At 37.1% G+C, this 23,081-nt stretch overlaps 1 protein-coding gene and 1 long non-coding RNA gene across 2 annotated transcripts; one reads left to right on the top strand and one right to left on the bottom strand.

The window, feature by feature from the left end:
• Positions 347 to 12,593, top strand: MMP12 (matrix metallopeptidase 12). The gene is made up of 10 exons (NM_002426.6): positions 347 to 493; positions 2,217 to 2,464; positions 3,377 to 3,525; positions 3,610 to 3,735; positions 7,260 to 7,421; positions 7,936 to 8,059; positions 8,881 to 9,014; positions 9,394 to 9,553; positions 11,077 to 11,183; positions 12,129 to 12,593. Exons 1-10 carry the CDS (start codon positions 392 to 394, stop codon positions 12,227 to 12,229), a joined length of 1,413 nt encoding a protein of 470 aa, NP_002417.2. The 5' UTR covers positions 347 to 391; the 3' UTR covers positions 12,230 to 12,593.
• Positions 8,930 to 22,856, bottom strand: LOC124902741 (uncharacterized). The gene is made up of 3 exons (XR_007062868.1): positions 21,018 to 22,856; positions 19,546 to 19,697; positions 8,930 to 10,131 (listed from the first exon to the last, which is right to left on the bottom strand). It is a non-coding gene; the product is annotated as an uncharacterized LOC124902741 (long non-coding RNA).
• Positions 22,857 to 23,081: the final 225 nt, after the last annotated feature.

Genomic DNA, 23,081 nt, shown 5'->3' with positions numbered 1-23,081 from the left:
TAAGGAAAGTATTATAATGAAAATCAAGAATATCAGGCTTTAAGAAAATATATTTTAAGTTCTCCTTCTCTTTTAGTTGCTTGATATTTCTTTTACAAGGGCTTATTTTGTAGGATAGGTGGACGTAGAGGCTTATTTATCATTTTGAAGGTACATACTCTGAATTGCTTGAGTGATGGACTAGATGCTAATTGATCCATTGTCGTCTGAATAAAGTCATGCTTTTGTTTGCATGTTTTTGAGATAGATCAAGGGATGATATCAACTATGAGTCACTCATAGGATTCATATTCACAGAACCCGGACTAAGGGCTATATAAAGAGGAACAGTTCAGGAACTTAGGCTAGAAAGGAACACAGTAAACTGAATTGATCCGTTTAGAAGTTTACAATGAAGTTTCTTCTAATACTGCTCCTGCAGGCCACTGCTTCTGGAGCTCTTCCCCTGAACAGCTCTACAAGCCTGGAAAAAAATAATGTGCTATTTGGTGAAGTAAGTATGGACACTACAGTATTTATCGAGCTTGATGTTTGTCTTTAAGATTTAATTGCATTAACCAGTTTGTTTGTTTGTTTGTTTGTTTGTTTGCTTTTACGTATCAGCTGAAAATTGGTCTAGGAGGCTGTCTGCTTTCAGTATTAAGTTTTACTTTGTCAAAGAGGAATATAAAAAAGAGGTATTGGTTTTGAAGGACTGTTATGAAATTGGCAAGTGAACTTGTTTCTTCTTCTAAAAACCTTTGGCCAAGAAATTTCCATTCAATATAATTGGAGTTCACTTCTGTTATGGTATTTTACACTAATCATTAAATGCCAGTTAATAATCTGAGATCTGAACAATGGCAGGATTAATATAACCACTTCAGGCTGCCATGATAATTTAAGCATATTCCCTTTACCCTCAGTCATCTCAGTTATATCTTTACAGCTTTTCTTTTTCTTTTTTATGGAGATGGGGTTCCACTATGTTGCCCAGGCTCGTCTGTAACTTCTGGGCTCAAGCAATCCCCCGCCTCAGCCTCCCAAAGTGATAGGATTACAGGCGGGAGCCACCATGCCAGGCCCCATCTTTATAGCATTCTTTATGGATTTTTTTCAATTCTTAAATTCTTTTCCTTAATTAAAAGAGTTTGGTCTCCCTATTTTCTAAGATGATTTTAACATTGAATTTATCATAGTTATCCATTTTGTTTAGCTTTGAGTTTTTAAGCAAGAAATTTGTGTCCCAACTTATATTAATAACATTAATAATTCATGTATCCTTTTGTTTTCTTTTCTTTTTCTTTTTTTTTTTTTTTTTGAGACAGGGTTTTACTCTGACACCCAGGCTACAGTGCAGTGGCACCATCTTAGCTCACTGCAACCTCCGTCTCCTGGGTTCAGGTGATCCTACTGACTCATCTTCCCAAGTAGCTGGGACTACAGGCATGTGCCACCACTCCTGGCTAATTTTTGTATTTTTAGTAGAGACAGGGTTTCACCCTGTTGCCCAGGCTGGTCTCAAACTCTGGGGCTCAAGCAATCCTTCCACCCTGGCCTCTCAAAGTGCTGGGATTACCGGTATGCACCACTGTGGCCAGCCTGGGTGACCAAGAGAAACTCCTCTGTCTTAAAAATGAATAAATGACGTTTTAAAAAAGATACTTCCACTGGGATTCCGGGAATAAATCTAGCTAATAGTTTATGACATGTCTTTGTTTTTTTGTTTGTTTTTGTTTTTCTTTTTTTTGAGACAGGGTCTGTGTCTGTCATCCAGGCTGGAGTGCAGTGGTACAATCACGGCTCACTGCAGCTTCTACCTCCCAAGCTCAAGTGATCCTCTCACCTCAGCCTCCTGAGTAGCTGGGACTACAGGCATGCACCAACGCTCTGGGATAATTTTTGTGTTTTTTGTACAGAGGAGGTTTCGCCATGTTGTCCAGGCTAGTCTTGAACTCCTGGGCTCAAGAAATCCTCCTGCCTCAGCCTCCCGAAATGCTGGGATTACAGGCCTGAGCTACTGCTCCTGGCTGACATGTCTTTGATAGCACAAAAAATTAAGGTTTTTTTTCCTGATTATAATTAATTGTCCAAAAAACAATAATCTAACCTGTGAGTAAGATGTGCAAAATTCCTGGTCCAAAAGCATCAGTGTGCAATTGAGTCATATATGTGGAGCTCCCAACAGAAATTTTCTGTGTGTACTTACACATTGCTGAATGTATTTTTTTTTCCAGAGATACTTAGAAAAATTTTATGGCCTTGAGATAAACAAACTTCCAGTGACAAAAATGAAATATAGTGGAAACTTAATGAAGGAAAAAATCCAAGAAATGCAGCACTTCTTGGGTCTGAAAGTGACCGGGCAACTGGACACATCTACCCTGGAGATGATGCACGCACCTCGATGTGGAGTCCCCGATGTCCATCATTTCAGGGAAATGCCAGGGGGGCCCGTATGGAGGAAACATTATATCACCTACAGGTAACGTTGGTGTATGTCGCCCTGTATTTTTCTACTTTCCCATAGGTCTGACTTCTAACCTGAACCAGTTAGACAGCCCTAAATCTGGAAGTAGATAAAGTAACCTCCCTCCATTGTTAATGCTATCTCTGCTAAAATTCATTTTCTCTAGAAGGAAGAATTGTTCACTCAGGGGAGAATTGTTTGGCTTGCCAGTCCAAAGCAGATTTTAAAAGCTGCAAATAGGCCAGGCACGGTGGCTCACGCCTGTAATCCCAGCACTTTGGGAGGCCAAGGTGGGTGGATCACGAGGTCAGGAGATGGAGACCATCCTGGCCAACATGGTGAAACCTCGTCTTTACTAAACACACAAAAAAATTAGCTGGGCGTGGTGGCGCGCACCTGTAGTCCCAGCTACTCAGGAGGCTGAGGCAGGAGAATGGCGTGAACCCAGGAGGCGGAGCTTGCAGTGAGCCGAGATCGTGCCACTGCACTCCAGCCTAAGTAACAAAGTGAGACTCCATCTCAAAAAAAAAGAAAAAAAAATCTGCAAATAAAAGGAGAATGAAGCTAAATTTACTATAAATAAGATAATTTACTATAAAGAAGAGACAGGGAAGTTTATAGAGTAGTCAAGATGGATAAATGCAGAACCTGGGAGCAGGAGCAAAAAGCATAACCTTCTATGAAAGCAAATCCTTCACAGTGATGATCTGTGAGTTTTAAATAGGAAGAAATTAAGTTAGATTTTGGTTAAGGAGGAGGCTGTCCAAGAAAAAATGTTTCTGTAGTTAATGAAGCAAGTTTTAAAATCTGGACTCTTGATTTATGAAATGATCCATTTTCCAATTGTGCTAGCAAAAATGAAGTATTGTGGTAAGACAAAATAACACTGCCTTCCATACATTTTTCTCTCTCTTTTTGCTGATAAAGAATCAATAATTACACACCTGACATGAACCGTGAGGATGTTGACTACGCAATCCGGAAAGCTTTCCAAGTATGGAGTAATGTTACCCCCTTGAAATTCAGCAAGATTAACACAGGCATGGCTGACATTTTGGTGGTTTTTGCCCGTGGAGGTAGGGAACTTGTATTTCATCTTTGTCATTTGGCATGATCTATAGGATGTATAGAAGGACTAATTTTCTTTCCTTTTCCAAAAGCTCATGGAGACTTCCATGCTTTTGATGGCAAAGGTGGAATCCTAGCCCATGCTTTTGGACCTGGATCTGGCATTGGAGGGGATGCACATTTCGATGAGGACGAATTCTGGACTACACATTCAGGAGGTGGGCAAAACAAACAAACAAACAAACAAAAAACTAAGCAAACAGGAAAGGAAAACAACAAAAACCCTAACAAATTCAAAATTCTGGTTTCGAGAGACTACATTCTGACAAATGATTATATGATGGAAAATCTTGTTCTGATTATAATTTTGCCTCTAAATCAAATTTAACACTTCGTATGGGTCTCAATTTTACTCTCTGTAAATTGAGGATATTAAACTAGATCATCTTGAAGATCAGCTCTAACAATCTATGAGGATGCTATGAACTATGAGCTAGTTCATTAGCATAAGCTCAGAGGAACCTTAAGAAGCATAATATGAAAAGGTAAAAGCTGTTAATTAGGTGGTAAGTTTTTTTTTTTGAGACAAGGTCTTGCTCTGTCACTTAGGCTGGCATCACGTATCATGATGCTAACTTACTACAGCCCGGAACTCCTGTGCTCAAGCAAACCTCCCACTTCAACCTCCCTAGTAGCTAGGACCACAGGTGTGCGCTACCCACCCGGCTAATTTTTTAATTTTTTATAGGGACAGGATCTTGCTATGTTGCCTCGAGATCCTCCTGTCCCAGCCTCCCAAAGTGTTAAGATTGCAGGCAGCCTAGGTGATAAGTTTTTGACCTAGTGAAATCCATAAGCTCAAAAGCAAACACATACTAATTCTGTGTGTGCCAACAATTAGAGGATAAGATGGTCATCTGTATGATTCATAATATGCTGACAATTTCTTAGATTCATAGTGAGCAAGAAAGAAAAAGTTACAGAGAATCTAAGCATCCCTATAGAGAAACACAAGATTATACAGCCATGTACTTTCATGTGGTCTTGGGATAAAAATTTCAGAATGCCCAACTGAACATTTAATACCTTGGGGGCATTTACATAAGGACTGTAACTTACCATCCTCCTCAGATAGTTGACATGGGGTTAATTAAACTCCCCTGTTATTTAGAGGAATCACTAGCATGGGAAAACCCTAACCATCATGACAGAAGCCTTCTTAATTTTTCTATTGGAAATTTTAGATTCTATGACTCCCTCATGTGGAAAGTAAATGAGGAGAAAGTCATCAATAATATTCTCTACTCAGCATCCTCCTCTCTAGCTGATATTGCACAAGTTGGATGGCAATACTTTTATAAATACTATGTCCACCAGAAAGACTATTTGTTTTAGTCTAACACATAGCCTAAGGCTTATAAAGTTTTTGAAGAGAAGAGGACTTTTGTATTGTCAAAAGACAGATCATGTAGGATTAGGTAGTTGCTAAACTGCAAATCCTCAGCCAGACATGTTATATGTGCCTAAATTTTATCCAAGGTTATTTGGGGGATTGTAATTCCTTCATCTAAAATGGGATATGTGTGCTAGTTAGCCTCAAAAAAATGTTTTGGAATTCTAATAGACCTTAGAAGAGTAATTTAATACAGCTTTCTGTAGGTAGAGGAAATTAAGACAAAGAGAAGGTTAGTGGCTAGTTTGTGGAAAAGCTGGGCCAGAATATGCATTCCTACCTCTCAACCCAGTATTTTCTATCTGTCCATATTGCCTTATTTTTTAATTGGATTGATTCAATGCTTTCAAAAAGTGAAGTTATTTATGACAATTATAACTTAAAATGCTTATTTTCAGCCGTTTTTGTTGTTGTTGTTGTTGCTGTTATTTGCTTTTTTTGAGATGGAGTCTTGCTCTGTTGCCCAGGCTGGAGTGCAGTGGTGCAATCTCAGCTCACTGCAACCTTCGCCTCCAGGGTTCAAGCAATTCTCCTACTTCAGCCTCCTGACTAACTGGGATTATATTACAGGTGCTGGCCACCACGCCCTGCTAATTTTTTTTTTTTTTTTGGCAGAGACGGGGTTTCACCATGTTGGCCAGGCTGCTCTCGAACTCCTGACCTCAGGTGATCCGCCTGCCTTGGTCTCCCAAAGTGCTGGGATTATAGGTGTGAGTCACCGCATCCAGCCTCAGCCTGTTTTCTTTTACCCAGTAAATCAAATAAACAAATAGGTCAATGTTTGCTGACCTATTCTATTATGGTATTGGGTGATGAGGTTACTTGAGTACAGAGATGAAAAGTACACAATTCAACCCCTGAGCACGCAATCTAGTGAGAAACAGAATACAAACATAAACCCATTATTTCCAGATGAGGATCAGTGGTGGTGGCTCATAGGCATATTATAGGAATTGAGAATAGTTCAGGTTTAGGATAAATTGTAAAAACTTTGCTTACTCTTCCCAGTCTTGCTGGGAAGGTTACTGGACCCATGATACAGAAAATTCTTGATTTGTGTCTAGACACTCCCCGAGAGAGGTGTAGACTCTTTGCACTTGGGTATGGGAGAGTATTCCAAGGCCAGGCTCTGCAGCTAAGTGACGTGTGACTCTGGGCAAGTCAGTTCTTCTGAACTACAATTTTGTCATAGAAAAAGACAAAAATGAAGGCATTGGACTAGGGGACAAGAATGTTAGTCAGGAATTTTCAAATATTCTGCAAATTGAGCAATTTGAGAGAAGGGACATACCCCTCTCTCTTCTCTTACCTACAAAGGTGCATTCTCTAGGACATAACACAAAAATGAACAAGGATTTCTTATGGGACTCAAAAGAAAAGCCAGATATAAAGCCAGACTATTTTAATCATAGATAAAAATGGTGAAGTCTGAATGGGGCTCAAAAAAAAGACAGAAAACACTGTAACTTGGTAGTCCAAATATGTCTAAATTATAAGTATAGACTCTTTTAAGAATTATTTATTTTTTCTCTTTTTTGTTTTTTATATTCTTTCCTTGAGTCATATAGACTCTTTAATTTTATTTAGAATCATGTGTAGTAAAAGCAGAAACATTAATCTTGGCTCAAGCACTTAATTTGATTTAATCTTATAAATACTGTTTCCTCATCTGTAATGGAGAGCACAGTGGCTTCCTTTCATTTGTATGAGAATTAGACATAATGTGTTACATTTCTCAGTGACTCACAGTACCTGAAACTTAATGATAGCCTTATATTTGGGCTTACGAAAAGACGATTGCTAAAGACATTTTTTTCTATATCTAGTAAAGCTTCATGAAGACTAAAAATAGAATTGAGTCATGAGAGTTGAGAATTATTTAGAAGCAATGAAAACTGTTGAACGCAGCTGTGAGTTATTCTAGGAATTTTTACAACAGAATATATTTCATTTGTCTACTAGTACAGAGGTCCCTAACCCTAGGCAATTTTGTCCCCAAGGAGATATCTGACAATGTCTGGAGACATTTTTTGGTTGTCAAAACTAAAAAGGATTTGCTACTTGCATTTAGGGGTAAAACCTGAGATTTCTAAACAACTATAATGCACAGAACAGCCCAGACTACTGAACTGTAATGTCAGAAGTGCTGAGATTGAGAAACCCAACTCAAAAGGGTAAAGAAATAAGTAAAAGATTCTCAAATCTTTCTTTTTCACTGTGTCAGATATTGTGTTCTTGTCCAAGATGATAATGCATTTCACAGCTGTCTTTTGGTTGGTTTCTTCTTAGGCACAAACTTGTTCCTCACTGCTGTTCACGAGATTGGCCATTCCTTAGGTCTTGGCCATTCTAGTGATCCAAAGGCCGTAATGTTCCCCACCTACAAATATGTTGACATCAACACATTTCGCCTCTCTGCTGATGACATACGTGGCATTCAGTCCCTGTATGGTGAGTTGAATTCTTTATCATTTTGCCATATAAAGATACTCGCTTTTATGAATAGTCTAACAATATCTATATTTGGATAAAACGTTAATATCTGTCTTTTTTTAAGCCGCATAAGAACCCTGTGTGGCAGGTGACACAGGTATTATCTTCATTATACAGATGAGGACAAGAGACCTAGTATGTTAACGTCAGAGCCAGAGGCAGAACCAGAGGCCTCAAGTCTGGTGTTCTTTCTATCCAAGATACCATTGCCTTACTGATGAAGGCCCACACATTAAACAATCTATTATAACTGGAAAAGGAAAGTAAAGATAATCAGATTTTCTTCCTCCATGATATTGCAACCATGTGGAAAAAAAACCTTACTTTATACTTCCTGTGAATGTTATAGAAAGCTTAAAATGATTTTGATGCAATGTTCATTAAGAAAATTGAGTATTTAAAACATAACTGTTCCTCCTCTGAACTACAATGCAGATTTTGTTTACTAATGCTTCTCGAAATGTATTTTCAGGAGACCCAAAAGAGAACCAACGCTTGCCAAATCCTGACAATTCAGAACCAGCTCTCTGTGACCCCAATTTGAGTTTTGATGCTGTCACTACCGTGGGAAATAAGATCTTTTTCTTCAAAGACAGGTAGGATCATTTTCATATCTAACCAATATTAAAGTTTCTGCCTTTAAATTTTTTTTGTCAGAAAACAGTGGAAAATAATTGAAAATGAAGTAGATGAAACTTGTAAGCAGGAACTTGGACTCGATTCTGTAGGCAGTGAGGAGATCTTAAAGGTTTTGAAGCAGGAGACAGGTGTAATTACATTTGTGTTTTAACTAGAAAACTGGTGTGTAAAAAACGATTTGCAGTAGGAATCTGGGATGGGGATTTAGAAGATAAGAAACAGAAGCCAGACTATTTTAATCATAGATAAAAATGGTGAAGTCTGAAACCAAGACTGTAAAACAGTACCTATGCAAGAGACTTGATTTCCTGGTTATGGAGGAGAGAATTCCAGGATAACTTATGGTTTCTTTCTTAGAACACAGACTGAAGCAGATGTTGGTGGTAAGGAGGGGCAGTTGGGAAGACTAACATTTGTCAAGTAGGACAAATATTTCCCATTTTTGAGATTATAAGACTGATACACTTGAGGATAGTGACTTCCTTGAGGTTACAAAACTGGTGAGTGAATTGTAGGGTCGAACCAGAAGCTTAGATCCCTGGATTCCAAGCTCCAGGGTATTTCTGTATACCAGATTGCTTGTTAAAGTCATTGTTATTATCAAAGAGTTGATTGATATCCTTTTCTTGTGGATCCATGAACATCAGACATCCATGGAACAGAATGTGAAGACAATGGAAAGAAATATTGGGTCTTTTCACAGTTCCCTCCCATTCACATGCCATGGTTCTTGAGTCTACATTGTCTTTTAACATGTGTCAAATGTCTTTCATGTCAGGTTCTTCTGGCTGAAGGTTTCTGAGAGACCAAAGACCAGTGTTAATTTAATTTCTTCCTTATGGCCAACCTTGCCATCTGGCATTGAAGCTGCTTATGAAATTGAAGCCAGAAATCAAGTTTTTCTTTTTAAAGGTAATTCTAATCTTTAGTTTTGCCATTGAGTTTACTTCAAGGAAGAGAATAAATTGAGAAGAGACTACTACTTTTTAATAGATATAGACCAAGAAAGCACTCTTGATTTTATTAATAGTGGCTCGCTCTGAAGTGTAAACTAAAATAGCCTAAATACCTAAGTAATATATACAACTTCTGGGAAAAGTTTGTAAACTACAAAATAGTAATACTTGTGAAAAAAAACCATGGGAACCATAGAAAAGAGACTATGTTTAAGATCAATAAGCAATAAATATTATAACTGTTGGAAAGGAATTATGTTGTTTATAGTAAATCAATATTTTCTTATTACTCTTCCTGTATAATTCAAATTTACCCTATTTCTTTGTCTTCACAGATGACAAATACTGGTTAATTAGCAATTTAAGACCAGAGCCAAATTATCCCAAGAGCATACATTCTTTTGGTTTTCCTAACTTTGTGAAAAAAATTGATGCAGCTGTTTTTAACCCACGTTTTTATAGGACCTACTTCTTTGTAGATAACCAGTATTGGAGGTGAGTTTTAATGGTTGGTCATTCGACCCCTCAGATTGTGAAACAGATATGGAATGAGGCTTTCTAGAAGGCACATTTTCTGCGCAAATTCCCAAAGCTCCTTGACCTTCCAGGGAGAGAGATTAAGAGAATATAGGACTGAAATAGTTATTGTCAACTTAGTTCTTTGTGTTTTTGGTTTCTGATATATGAAATAGTAGATAATGTGTGTTTTTTTTTAAAAAAACACTCTAAATAAAATGTCATCTTATTAATCATAGTGGAAACACATTGGAAAATAGTGTCATAGATGTACAAGACCAAGTATTTAATCTACAGTCAGTTTCGAGGGTTATGGATTTCCAGATTCCTTTCTGTAATCACTGGATTCAAAAGACAAAATGAGACAACCATCCTCTAAATGACAGGAGGTCAGGAGGTCCTGCAAGATCTTCCTTAAAAGAAAGTCATATGGTCAAGTGAGGATAGGAGCTCATTTGAGTGTCTGTCTCTGTTGTCTCAATTGTCTACATTTTGAAGGAGGAGAGGATTCTGTATTCCTTCTTCTGAGTAAGCCAGTCATTTCCTAGATTGCTTGCCTGGTTGACATGAGACATAACATATATGTTAAGCTTACATTTACAACTGTTATTTATTCTTAAGCATTTAAAACACAATATCTAATTCCAATTGAATACCGGATGCTTATGACTTGAATTTGTCCACCAGCCCTTAGCTCTGTTTGAGAAACAAAACTTGATTTTAGCAAATAACACTTTCCAAAGAGCTCACAAATGGGTGTAGTTTGCTGTAGCCTGTTATTATGAACATTGGCATTTCAACTCTGAACAGTGTTTCTGTTTAGTTTTCCACTCCTACTTGGCCCAGGATTTTTCCCTGAAAGGCCATTGAGAGAGTGCTAAGCAAGCCATAAATACTTAGAGAACCAAATTGATAAACACAAGATAACAGTTAGATTCAGTTGCCACTTGGAAGTCTAGAGAGACACAAAGCTCTTTTCACTTGCTGGTAAAAGAGAATTTAAGAGAGAAACCAGGATATGACCATACAGCCTGGAAACAAAAGTGTTTATTTTCAATTTCTCTCAAACGTGTGTATAAAACCCTTTGGTTCCCTGGCTCTTAGCCCCTTGACCTGTTTATTATCTTCTTGGGGGAAATGGGTATTTTTGTCTCAGTGAATAGCTTTGAAAAGAAGGCAATGACAGGCAACTGAAGAATCGGTCACTGGGGCCTATGCTGTTGCCAAATCACCTTCTATGCCAGACTCTATAAAGCAGGACCAAGCACTAGAGGAAGTATTATGGGATAGTGGGAAAAAGACTTAACCAGAGTCAGGAAGCATAGGTTTGAGTCCTATAGGGACTCAGAGGAAATCAGTGAACTGTTTAGGTCCTTGGTTTTTTTCATCAGAGCAACTTAAGTCCTTTGGGGAAGAGCTCTTCAGTAGAGAAGGTGGGTTTGTGGTGCATGTCAGGAAAGCCACTTTCTGATTGAGTTCCTGCTGGTTACTTCTTTGCTCAGGTATGATGAAAGGAGACAGATGATGGACCCTGGTTATCCCAAACTGATTACCAAGAACTTCCAAGGAATCGGGCCTAAAATTGATGCAGTCTTCTACTCTAAAAACAGTAAGTAGATGAGGAAACCATGAAGATACTGGAAATAACATTTCAAAGCTATAAATCCTCTAAGATTAGAGAATAGGGCTCCAAATTGGAAAGGGACAGGTTTCTGCAGTTCCCCATAGGGCCGCAAGGAAAAACTCACACTGTACGTGGCTCTGAATAGGAGAGTTAGAATGAGCAGGGGCTGGTGGCACAAGTGGTATATTCCCAGGGTTGTCTAGCAGGCAGAGGGAATGTGATTGTTCCTATTTCTCATGTACCTGAGTCTCTGGAATTTCCTTTTACCACATCAGCCACACAGTATGTGCAAGCGAGCACATGGCAGCCAAGACTCAGGCAGTCTGGAGTCTCACCCTTTCCTACACCTTGCACTCTTGACCTTTCCTATAGTCCCTTCTGCCCTGATAGGCCCTCATGGACTGGGGACTGCGGGTGGGTTAAGAAAAGCTTGAGTTTGTATCGTATGTCTTCAAACAAGACCAGCCTAAGCAACTGTTCATGGGGTCAAGATTTTTTGTTTGTATTCCCTCCCCTCCCCAGTGTTGTTTCCTCCATCAAAGCCCCTGTGTGCCCTAGCTGGGTCCAATATCCTGTTTCATGAGTCCTCCACTTGGAGTATGACTGGCTGTTGGTAGACGTTTTGGGGGTATGATACCAAGGGCCCTCAACTTTTATGTCCTCAAATCACATCTCATCTTATTTTTTATTTGTTATTTTTTGATGAAAAAATAGAGATGAGGTCTTGTGATGATGGCCAGGCTGATCTCAAACTCCTGGCCTCAAGCAGTCTTCCCATCTCAGCCTCTCAAAGTGTGTAGTTAAGGGCATGAACCACAGCCCATAGGTCATCTATTCTAGATAATCTATGAGAAGAGATTTGTGTTGTTGTTGTTGTTGTAAAGAAATACAGGGAGGGAATTAAACTATTTAATTTGTTTTCATTTTCAGAATACTACTATTTCTTCCAAGGATCTAACCAATTTGAATATGACTTCCTACTCCAACGTATCACCAAAACACTGAAAAGCAATAGCTGGTTTGGTTGTTAGAAATGGTGTAATTAATGGTTTTTGTTAGTTCACTTCAGCTTAATAAGTATTTATTGCATATTTGCTATGTCCTCAGTGTACCACTACTTAGAGATATGTATCATAAAAATAAAATCTGTAAACCATAGGTAATGATTATATAAAATACATAATATTTTTCAATTTTGAAAACTCTAATTGTCCATTCTTGCTTGACTCTACTATTAAGTTTGAAAATAGTTACCTTCAAAGGCCAAGAGAATTCTATTTGAAGCATGCTCTGTAAGTTGCTTCCTAACATCCTTGGACTGAGAAATTATACTTACTTCTGGCATAACTAAAATTAAGTATATATATTTTGGCTCAAATAAAATTGAAAAAAAAATCATTTGGTTTTTAATATATTTTTCTTGAGAAACAGAATGTGTATTTTGAAAATAACTCTGAACCTACTCCTAAATAAAAACAAGTCTCTCTGACTATATCAAGAGATGAATAGAAATATGGCAAGTAGAAATAAAAGCTTAGATTTCTTTTGGTCACTTGGGTAACACCACTTGTGTCCTTGGTCTCAAGGCAAGAAAACATCCTCTAGGCTACACACAACCCCAAGGAGTGCTTACAGAGTACAGCCACAAGACTGGAGAGAAGGGATGAAATGGGAATTTCCCGTTCTGGTAAAATCCACAGTCAAGTCTCACAGTGTAATTGCTGTGTGACCTTAACAAGCAATTAAATCTAAGCTTCCTTAAATTTAGGAGGAAATAAACTTAGGAGGTACCCACCTCATAGGTTTATTGTGAAAAACCACACAATGCATGGTAAGCACATCATTCTGGCAGTGTGGCCTGTCCTGTGTCCATTTTCTCCACTACCCTGACACATAGTTCCCCTATCTTCTGGGTTGCATACATTGTAGAGCTCTCACTTATAGCTTACGGGTTTGTGGAATGCTTTTAGTTTTCAATTTATTAGTAAATCATTGCTGATTGATGTACTTAAGTTTGCAGAAATGGCCAAGTCCATTTCAAGCTGGATGATCATTTCTGGCTAGTGAAATGAACTGAACTCAGGGGAAATATGAGGCTCAGAAAGTACCTAGAGGGAGATAGAGCTCTTTGTCCTTCATGTCTCAGATCTTTTTTCTTTTTTTTTTGAAACGGAGTCTCACTCTGCCGCCCAGGCTGGAGTGCAGTGGCACAATCTCGGCTCACTGCAACCACCGCCTCCTGGGTTCAAGAGATTCTCCCAACTCAGCCTCCAGATTAGCTGGGATTACACGTGCCAGCCACCACGCCCAGCTAATTTTTGTATTTTTAGTAGAGACGGGGGTCTTACCATGTTGGCCATGCTGGTCTTGAACTTCTGACCTCAAGTGATACCCCCAACCTAGGCCTCCCAAAGTGCTGGGATTACAGGCATGAGCTGCTGTGCTCAGATCCATTCTTAACTCAAGTATGTGCTCCTTCAGTATTATTAGAGTTGTCTTTGCAAAGAGTAGAATCGATTCACCACTATAAGAAATGTTATTCCCCACAGGTTACTAAATGCTGGATTTCCCTCAAAAGAAGAAAATTCCCTCCAGAATCAGCATCAAAAAAAATTGAATGGTATCTGCATGAATTGTCTTTGGCCTTAGGTAACTCAGGAGGGAGGCGTTTCTCTTAAATGACAACTGAATAGGAATAAAAGTCCAGAGTCGCTATCATGAGTGTTCATAAAGATGCCTCAAAGACTTAAATGTGAACCTTTCTTCCTTTTCTTCTATCCGTGGTGTACTTTCAAATTTTGTTAAACAAATCCTTATAATGTTAACCATGTGCCAGGCACTGTTCCAAGGCTGTATATACACAAAATATAAAATGAAAATAACTCATTTAATCCTGATTACAAACATGAGGTAAGTACCGTCATTCTCATTTTTCAGATGAGATAACTAAAGCATCAAGAGTTTTTACCTTGCTGTAGGTCAGGTAGCCTTGGAGCTTGATGCACGGTCAGGCAGCCTGACACCAGAATCTATGCTATTAACTACCACAAGATTGTGCCTTTTAGATTTATAAAGTGGAAAAAGTTAAAGCTAAAACTTCTGGCATTTCACTCTATAAAGTTTTGCATTTTTACTTTTCAATTAAAAGTCTTCAAAATGTCTTAAGAGTTGCATGTATGTCCCGTCTGGGGAATATCACTTTTTCTCTGGGAAATGGAGGAGTATTATTTCATTGATGTAAGGAAAGAAAATGTTCAAGACTTGGAAATTACAGGTGTCTTTACAACTAAGGGCTGCACATTGTGTAGCTAATATTCTGGAGTAACTGATTTTATGAGGGTATGCATCTTTGACTTTTTATTGGGTAGACTAGTTTATAAATCTGTAAGGGTAGAAATAGTAGAGAACTGACAGTTACACGAAAGGTTTTTTTCTATATCAATGCAAATAAATCTTACTTCTTAGGGATAAAATTCATTTGTGCCAGATAGAAGAGATACTCTCAAACATTACATTTTGCTGTCCTATAAAGATATTACCTATTTATATCATTAGGAAATTTCTTTCACATTCCTTACTGTATATATGTCTGTTCTTCAGGCCCTTCTTTGAACTGATTCCCTCATTAGCTAGTGAGTTAAAGAATATCTTTAACAAGTTCATTTCATATTTGCATAAAATCATATTTTTAGCCTTTAAAAATTATACTTTAGCACAAATTAGTCAACAAGGAAGAGAACAGGACTGTCTACCTTGTGGACTACAAGTAGAAAAAACCTTAAATTAGTAGACAATTTCTCAAGCCTGCCAGAACTGTAGTTTCGTCTTTCTGATTCTGCTTCTCCCCTTATACTGTAATAGGATAGTGAGGAATCCTGTGCCTTTACAGGAGAAAGGAAAGGATGTACCATGTTTGGGCTGCATAAAGTTTCCCAGATTCACATTTTTGATGTTAATACTAGATTTGAGTCCCTGTGATAGGCATGAGGGATTCAAAGATGACTAGGAATCTATGTCTTCAAAGGCACAAAATATGGTAAAGACAAACAAGACATATAAACAAATTATAATGCAATGTAATAAGTAGATCAATAGAAGCATTTACAAAATAGAGGGGTAATTATATCTCTGCAAAAAGATTTGGGGGCCACAGAACATTTCCTATGGGAAACAACATTTGAGATGTGTTTTTAAAATATGAGAGGGATTTGTTAGGTGGAGATGTAGCTAAAGGGATTTCAGGTGGAAATGGAGCCTCCTCAAAGACTCACTAAAATAATATTTTTGTAAAATTGGAGCATAAAACAAAAAGGGAAAAGATGAGAAGGAGATACCAGGTCATTAACAAAATTTATTGTCATGAAACTTTATGTTTATCTCATAAATGATATGGCTTTATTGAAGGGATTTTAATAGGGATAAAGACCAAATTGCATCTTAGAATATCTTTTGAATGGAAATATAGAAGATAGGTCAGAAGTAATTAAGGCAATGTGCAGAGAAGAACAGCTACCATAGTACTGTACTAGTCCATGCAAAAAATACTAGAAACCTAAATTATAGACGTGGGGAAGACATGCGAGCAACAGCTAGAAGGGAGAAATCATAAGGTTTGGTGACTGCTTTGCATATGGAGTATGGCTGAAAAGGAATAGTATAGGGTGATTTTTTTAAGCATCTGGTTTAAGAAGTGACTTTGAATAGAGAAGGAAAATCTGGTTGCAGAAGAGATGGTGGTGTGATTGATGGAAAGGAAATAACTAGGTCTGTTGAAACTGGGGAGCCAGGGGGAGATGTCTAGTAGGTAACGGGATGGGGTCAAGGCCCAATAAAGGTGTCTGAACCAGAAATTAAAATGTTGAAGTGGTTAGTGTGTAGGTAGAAGGTCGCAACTTGGAAGTTAATGGGATATCTTAGGAGGACCATAAGTAATAGTCTTTCCAATATGTATCATCTCTGGGGTGATTTTCTAGATTATAGCATTATGGTATAAGAACATCAAAATATTTTAAGGAGGTCGTAATATACCATAGAAAAAGGATTTGCTGATTTATGCAAGACAGCTCCCAATCCATGAGGATTAAAATGTAAGCTCTTGTCTCTTCTTGTGTTAGTATATAAATATAATATCCGAGGATCACTTTTGTTTCTGGTCATATTGCAGTAACTAGTACTGGATTTTGCTTCTTGCTGTGATCAACTATAAAACTGAACAAAATGTATGAAAAAGATGGTTTCATTCATTGAGCACTAGGTAGTGTAGGAAATAGTCCAGGAAGGAAGAAAACGGATGGTGCAAGCCCCCAAGTCTTGCCTGCTTTCTCCCTTTAGGTAATTTCCAGGACACAGCACAGGGGAAAGGAACCAAGTAGAATGCAGTGGTCTCACTGAGTTGAGAGATAGAGATTAAAGTTCAGGGAGTTAGAGGTGGCTATAATTTTCAGGGAAAAGTAAGGAAGAGGAGGAAGTTACATAGAGAATGCACTCCAGAAATTGGGAGAGAAGACCCCTTGAGTCTGCTGATGAATACTGAACTGCATATGCACCACCAAGGAACTGTAGACTGAACAATTCTCAGAGATTACATAGGGCTAGGAGAGGTTTGAATTTCATCCAGCCTGAATGGCAAGATGTCTTTTAACACCTGGGGAAATCAGTGAAGCCACTTTAATAGTAGGACTCAGTTATTCCTACAGATAAGGGTACACTAGACCCACCCTAAACAAAACTTAAAATCAAACTTTGAAAAGATCAAACTGATCTGTAAATCACTTGACTAATCCCAACACTTTGGGAGGCTGAGGTTGGAGGATGGCTTGAGCCCAGGAGTTTGACACCAGCCTGAGCAACACAGGGAGACCTTGTCTCTACAAAAAATTAGCCAATAGCAGTGGCACACACCTGTGGTCCCAGCTACTTGGGAGGCTGAGTTGGGAGGATTGCTTGAGCCTGGGAGGTCAAGGTGAGCCATGATCATACCACTGCACTCCAGCCTGGGTGACGGAGCAAGACCCTGTCTTACATATATATAAATATATATATATATATAAAAATATATTTCTAAAATATATATATTTTAGAAACATTTATTGACTTTTTTCTATATATGTAGAGAAATAATGTGTACTTATATTTATTTATATTTATAAAATGTAATCTTATATAAACATAATCTTATATTATTAAACATTATAAAATTTATATAAACATTTATATTTACATAAATAAATCTCTCTAAATATATATATACTTACATATCGAGAGAAGACAATGGAGTGACACATTTAATATGTTGAAAGAAAAAAGGCATTATCGATTTAGAATTCAATATCTAGTGAAAACAACTTCCAAAAATAAAAAATGGTGCAGACTTTTTCAGACAAGCAATAATTGAGAGAATTGACTGTCAGAAGACAATTCTGTTAAGAATTGTTAAGGGAAGTTATTCCCTTAAGAAATGTTAAGGGAAGTTCTTCAAGTAGAAGGAAAATGGTAATGACTGGTAACGTATCAATACAAAGAAACGAAGAGCATCATAATGAGTAAATATATAGGTAAATATAAAAGGCAGTTTTCTATGTTTAATTATTAAAAATAACTATGTGAAGCAAAGAAATAAAAATGTGTTATGGAGTTGACAGGATATATACAAGTAAAATAAATGTATGACAACAATAGCACAAAGGATGTGAGGAAAAATATAGATGTGAGAAAAAATATAGATGTGAGATTCTTATAGGTATAATTGAAGTGGTATAATTCTATATGAAGGTAAACTCTGAAAAGATAGAGATAAAAATTTTAATTCTAAAAAAATCCACTAAAAATAGACAAAGAGGTATAACTAATAAGCCAATAATGTTGATATAATGGAATACTGAAAATTATTCTATTAATCCAAAAGAAGATCTGAAAAGAGGAAAAAGGAAGAAAGAACAGATGGGACAAATAGGAACAAATAGCAAGCGAATAGATCTCAGTCCAATCATATCTATAATTACATTAATTATAAATTGTCCAAACACTCTAATGAAATGAGATTGTCAGACTGAAACTATTTCCTGTCTCTAAGAAAACCACTTTAAATATAATGACATTTATTTTAAAAGTAAAAGGATGAAAATAATATACCATGCAAACACTAATCATAAGAAAGATGGAATGGGTACATTAATAACAGCTAAATTAGATATGAAACTGGTTTTCCTAATGTGGTTCCTTATCCAGGAGCATCAATAAATCAGGAACTTATTAGAAATGCAAATTTCAGGTCCCATTTTAGACTTACTGAATCAATTTAAAATTGAAGTCCAGAAGTCTGTTTCATCAAGCAAGCCCTCCGAGTGACTTTGATTCATGCTACAGTTTGAGACTCACTGTATACAGAGGAGCATTTCATAATTATAAATGTATCAATTATTTAAAAAGACCAAAGTATCCAAGATGAATTTGGATACCAGTGCTGCTACTCATCTGACCACATCACTTTGTGAAGGTCACTTAATCTGCTGAATCTTGGTTTACTCATCTGTGAAGTGTGGCTATTAAATGCTAGAGATTTCATATAATATATGTATGTATCTATACCACTGACACATACATAAAACAGTGACTGATAAATGTACTGTTAGAGTTGTGCAATGATTTGATACGTTCATATTGAATCTCTCCTGTCATACCAGTGGCCCCCTCTGCACATTCGCTCCTCATGTCTTTTTTCCTTAACTGCCGCACTCTTGGTCTTATATACAAATCCTAACTACCTTTCTAGTAACAAGCAAGTCCAGACTTCACTGGTCTTCATCTCCCCAGATGTACTTTTTATATCTCATATTTTGGTTCTTAAGTAGATAATAGTTCCTCCCTTTAAAAAATTCATATATACTTTATTTTTGTAATATTTGATAATACTAAGTATAGTTGTAGCATTTTATATGTTTGAATGCTTAATAAAGTTATAAAACATTATATGAATATACTACAATTTATCCACTCTACTGTCCAATGACCATCTGGGTTATTTCTGGTCTTTTGCTATTACAGATGAGGCAGTAGATTTCCATCCAACTTACAAAACATAAATGCAAGAGTTTCTGTATGGTATATTCCTAAATGTGGAATGACTACATTTTGGAATTATCAAATGTTTAACTGCTCGGGCAGCTATGATGTTAAACAACTACTGCTGATTGTTTTTGACAAATGACCTGGGAAAATGTTGATTGCACTGGGTGTGTTCTGAATCAGGTTAAATAAAAACAAGCCTTGTGAGTGGTGTTTTCCAGGAAACCGGCAGACAGGTCAAATAATGACAATTCTTCGGATAGGGCTTTGAAAGAGCTCTTACCTTATTTGGATGCCAGCAGCTGCTAGGTTGCTTGTTTTCATTGTAATTGTGGGTTGTTCATTTACAAGACCACCGTTGAGCAGCTCTCTGAACATTGAGCCACTTTTTTTGCTGCCAAGATTGTTGTATGCAGTTGATTCATTTTCAGGATTCTGAAAAAGTTGATTTTGACTTTTTGTTTCTGCCAATGTTCTTGTTTTTATGGAAAAGGACATTTTAAAGGTCCTTACTCTACCATCCCAGCTGACATCATTTGAAATTAATTTTGATGTACTTAAATTAATCAGCCTATTATTCTACAGTGCCATGTTTAAGAAGTTCTTTTCTGTCACAGGCTGCTGAAAATATGGCAAGCTGACTTTCTGGAGAAATTCTGATGATACATACAAGCTCTGCAAGAGGATTTGAAGATTGTGTTGTAGTCAAGAATGTACAATGAAATTACTGTATGCATCAGTGTAGAAAAAAATTCCTTTTTAAAAGAATTATAAAACCATAGCTTTATAAATCAGTGGACAGTGGCTTACAGAGAGATCTATCAGATGTGTTTACATCACATCTTATCCACTTTTTTTTTTTTTTTTTTTGAGACAGAGTCTCACTCTGTCACCAGGCTGGAGTGCAGTGGCACGATCTCAGCTCACTGCAACCTTCACCTCTCAGGTCAAGTGATTCTCCTGCCTCAGCCTCCTGAGTAGCTGGGATTACAGGTGCCAGCCACCACACCTGGCTAATTTTTGTATTTTTAGTAGAGATGGGGTTTCACCATGTTGGCCAGTATGCTCTCGATCTCTTGACCTCATTATTCACTTTTTTTTAACGGCTCAAATCCTTTGGCATTGCTATGTTCATATTTGTGTATTCCTTTTTTATAGCTCTGATAGCTTTAATTTTCTAAGCAGTCTGTCTATCAGATATGCACATCTACTGTGCTTGAAGTATAGTGCAACTCATCAGTAATAATGTGTACTAGTTATGACTTGTTGACATTTCCACTATAAACTTTAATTTTGAATTGTTTATGCATTATAACTGTGGATTTCTATAGTATTGGACTGAAAGTTGACAGGATTTCAGCCACCACTTATGAATTTTGATTTAGATTCATTATGTGTATCAGAATCTTCTTTTTTTTAAATAAGAGATGGAAAGCATTTCTTGTAATCTGCTCTTTAACAAAGAATTTTTTTTAAACAGTTTGTTGGGCAGCTGATAGTGTGAACCAGGTCATTTTTGTATTAAGTAAAAATAAAACTTTGAGAAACTTGAATTTTAAAAGTAATGACAATGCTTACGTTAGTATTATTTGTAATATGAATCATTTACATCTAATAAGAATGTTAGTTGAGAATGTTTCCTTAAAGTTTTATACCCTATAAATGAAGGCCCAGGAAAAATAACGTATAAGATGAAACAGCAAACGCTTAAAATTCCTGCTTATTTTATTAGATAAAAGTAATTTGAGTGCTTACCTAATTAAAAAAAAAAGATTGTAGTTGTTTCATGGTGAAACAGTCCTTCAGAATATATCGTCTGCTATATTGCAGGAAGTGAAGGTGTGGCTTGTCTCAACCTGTTGCAAATATCTTGAAAGGCAGAGTTCCGGGCAGTGACTGGTTATACAAAGTCCACAATTTTGATAAGTTAGAAAATCTGCTCTGTGACTCACTGTGTGATCTTAGACAAGTTATTGACCTCTTTGACTCTCAGGGAAAACAATACCTGCCTTTTAGATTTGTTCTGAGAATTAAGTAGGTAAAGCCTCTGACACTTAGTAGGCTGAAATAAATAAAGAAAGAAACTTATTTCTTCACATCTCAACTTCTTCTGGACCCAGAATTTCCCAGTTTTGCTGCTCTCCTCCTCACTAAGTACATTCATCCCCTAATAACCACTCTGACTTGTCGAGAAGGAAGAGAACTCATGTGGTCACTCTTCGTTTTCCCCATATTGCCCTCATTCCCAACTGCTTAAGCCCATCCAAAGTTAGACATAACTCATTTTTTTTTGGCCCTCATTCTAGCTATCTGATGGCTATGAATAATCATGTTTATTATTTTCTGAGAAGTTCTTACATAATTTCTGTTACCTATATCAAGCCCATAAAATAGACATTTAAATGGCCATTTTTAAGAGTGAAGAAAAAGGGGCACAGAGAAGATAAGCAATTTGTTTGGTGTCAGAGCTACTGAGTACAGAAACTAGGATTCTAACTGGGGGCTGTTTAACCCCAAAACCCATGCTTTTTCTACTATAGCACTTAGATTCTTTTGGCTGATAATCTTGTAGTTAACAAGGAATATGTTTTGATACTATTTGGCCCAATTATTAGGTACAAAATGTAAAAGTTGGTAAATTATCAACATCCTCTGTAATTTTTGGAGCAGTCAAGTTACCATGAGAATACTAAGAGAGATGTGAACGTAAGTGAGGTTTGAGGAGAGGTTTTTCCACTTATTCTCTAAATTCATGATCTTGAACAGCATGTTCCCATCTTATAATTGAATAAAATATGACTTTCAAAACAAAAAAGGATTGTGAAATGTGTATCAAACCACAAAGGTACTGGATTGGATGTGTATGCTCAGAACCTTAGAGTTGGATTTTGTTGACGTTGATGAGTGCTTACAAATTCACAGTCAGAAAGATTTTGTTCTTTTCCCAGGATTTGGAATATTTACTAATCTTCGTGAATGAGGAGGCTTTGTATTTTTGAATCATAGTGACACATAATGACTGCACATAGACTTGGGTCCTAACTGGGTCACATTCGGGCAGCACCAGTGGAAGATGATGGGCAGAGAAGACCAAGCTTAAAGAGAGGGGAAGGAAGTTAGAAAAATGATGAGAGGTACCCCGAAAATTGATGCTAATTATCCATTAGACACTGAGTTAAGAGACATTTCCAGGTTTCTGTTTTCAAGAATATGAAAATTTGAAAGATAAAATTTATAGAAAGGGTTAAGTCCAGGCCAAGAAAGTGTTATAAACAGATAAGAAGCAGGAGTTGAGATAAGTCTAAAGACTGCAAACTCTTATTTCTGTTTGTTCTGGTTTTGATTGGACAATGTTTGTACATCTCTGCTACTTACCGTCTACGTGAACTTGAATAAACCTTTTGACTTTTTCTGATCAATTTATTTATCTGTGAAATGGAGATATAATCTTTACCTTGCAATGTGGGTGTAAAGATTAGACATAATATATGTAACGTGTTGGGTACATAACTGATGATCAATATATGGTGGTTTTCCTCTTTCTTAAAGGACAGTTGTATATACATATAACTTATATATATGTGTGTGTGTGTGTGTGTTTTCATATATATATATATATATATATGTTGGGCATGGTGGCTCATGCCTGTGATCTCAGCACTTTGGGAAGCTGAAGCGGGTGGATTGCTTGAGGCCAGGAGTTCAAGACCAGCCTGGACAACATAGTGAAACCCTGTCTCTACTAAAAATACAAAAAATTAGCCTGGCGTAGTGGCACATGCCTGTAACCTCAGCTACTCAGGAGGCTGAGGCATGAGA

Source organism: Homo sapiens, chromosome 11 (assembly GCF_000001405.40).
Source record: "Homo sapiens chromosome 11, GRCh38.p14 Primary Assembly".
NCBI classification, from domain to species: domain Eukaryota; kingdom Metazoa; phylum Chordata; class Mammalia; order Primates; family Hominidae; genus Homo; species Homo sapiens.
The sequence above is the reverse complement of the archived record's forward strand: the minus strand, read 5'-3'. Positions and strand labels throughout refer to the sequence as shown.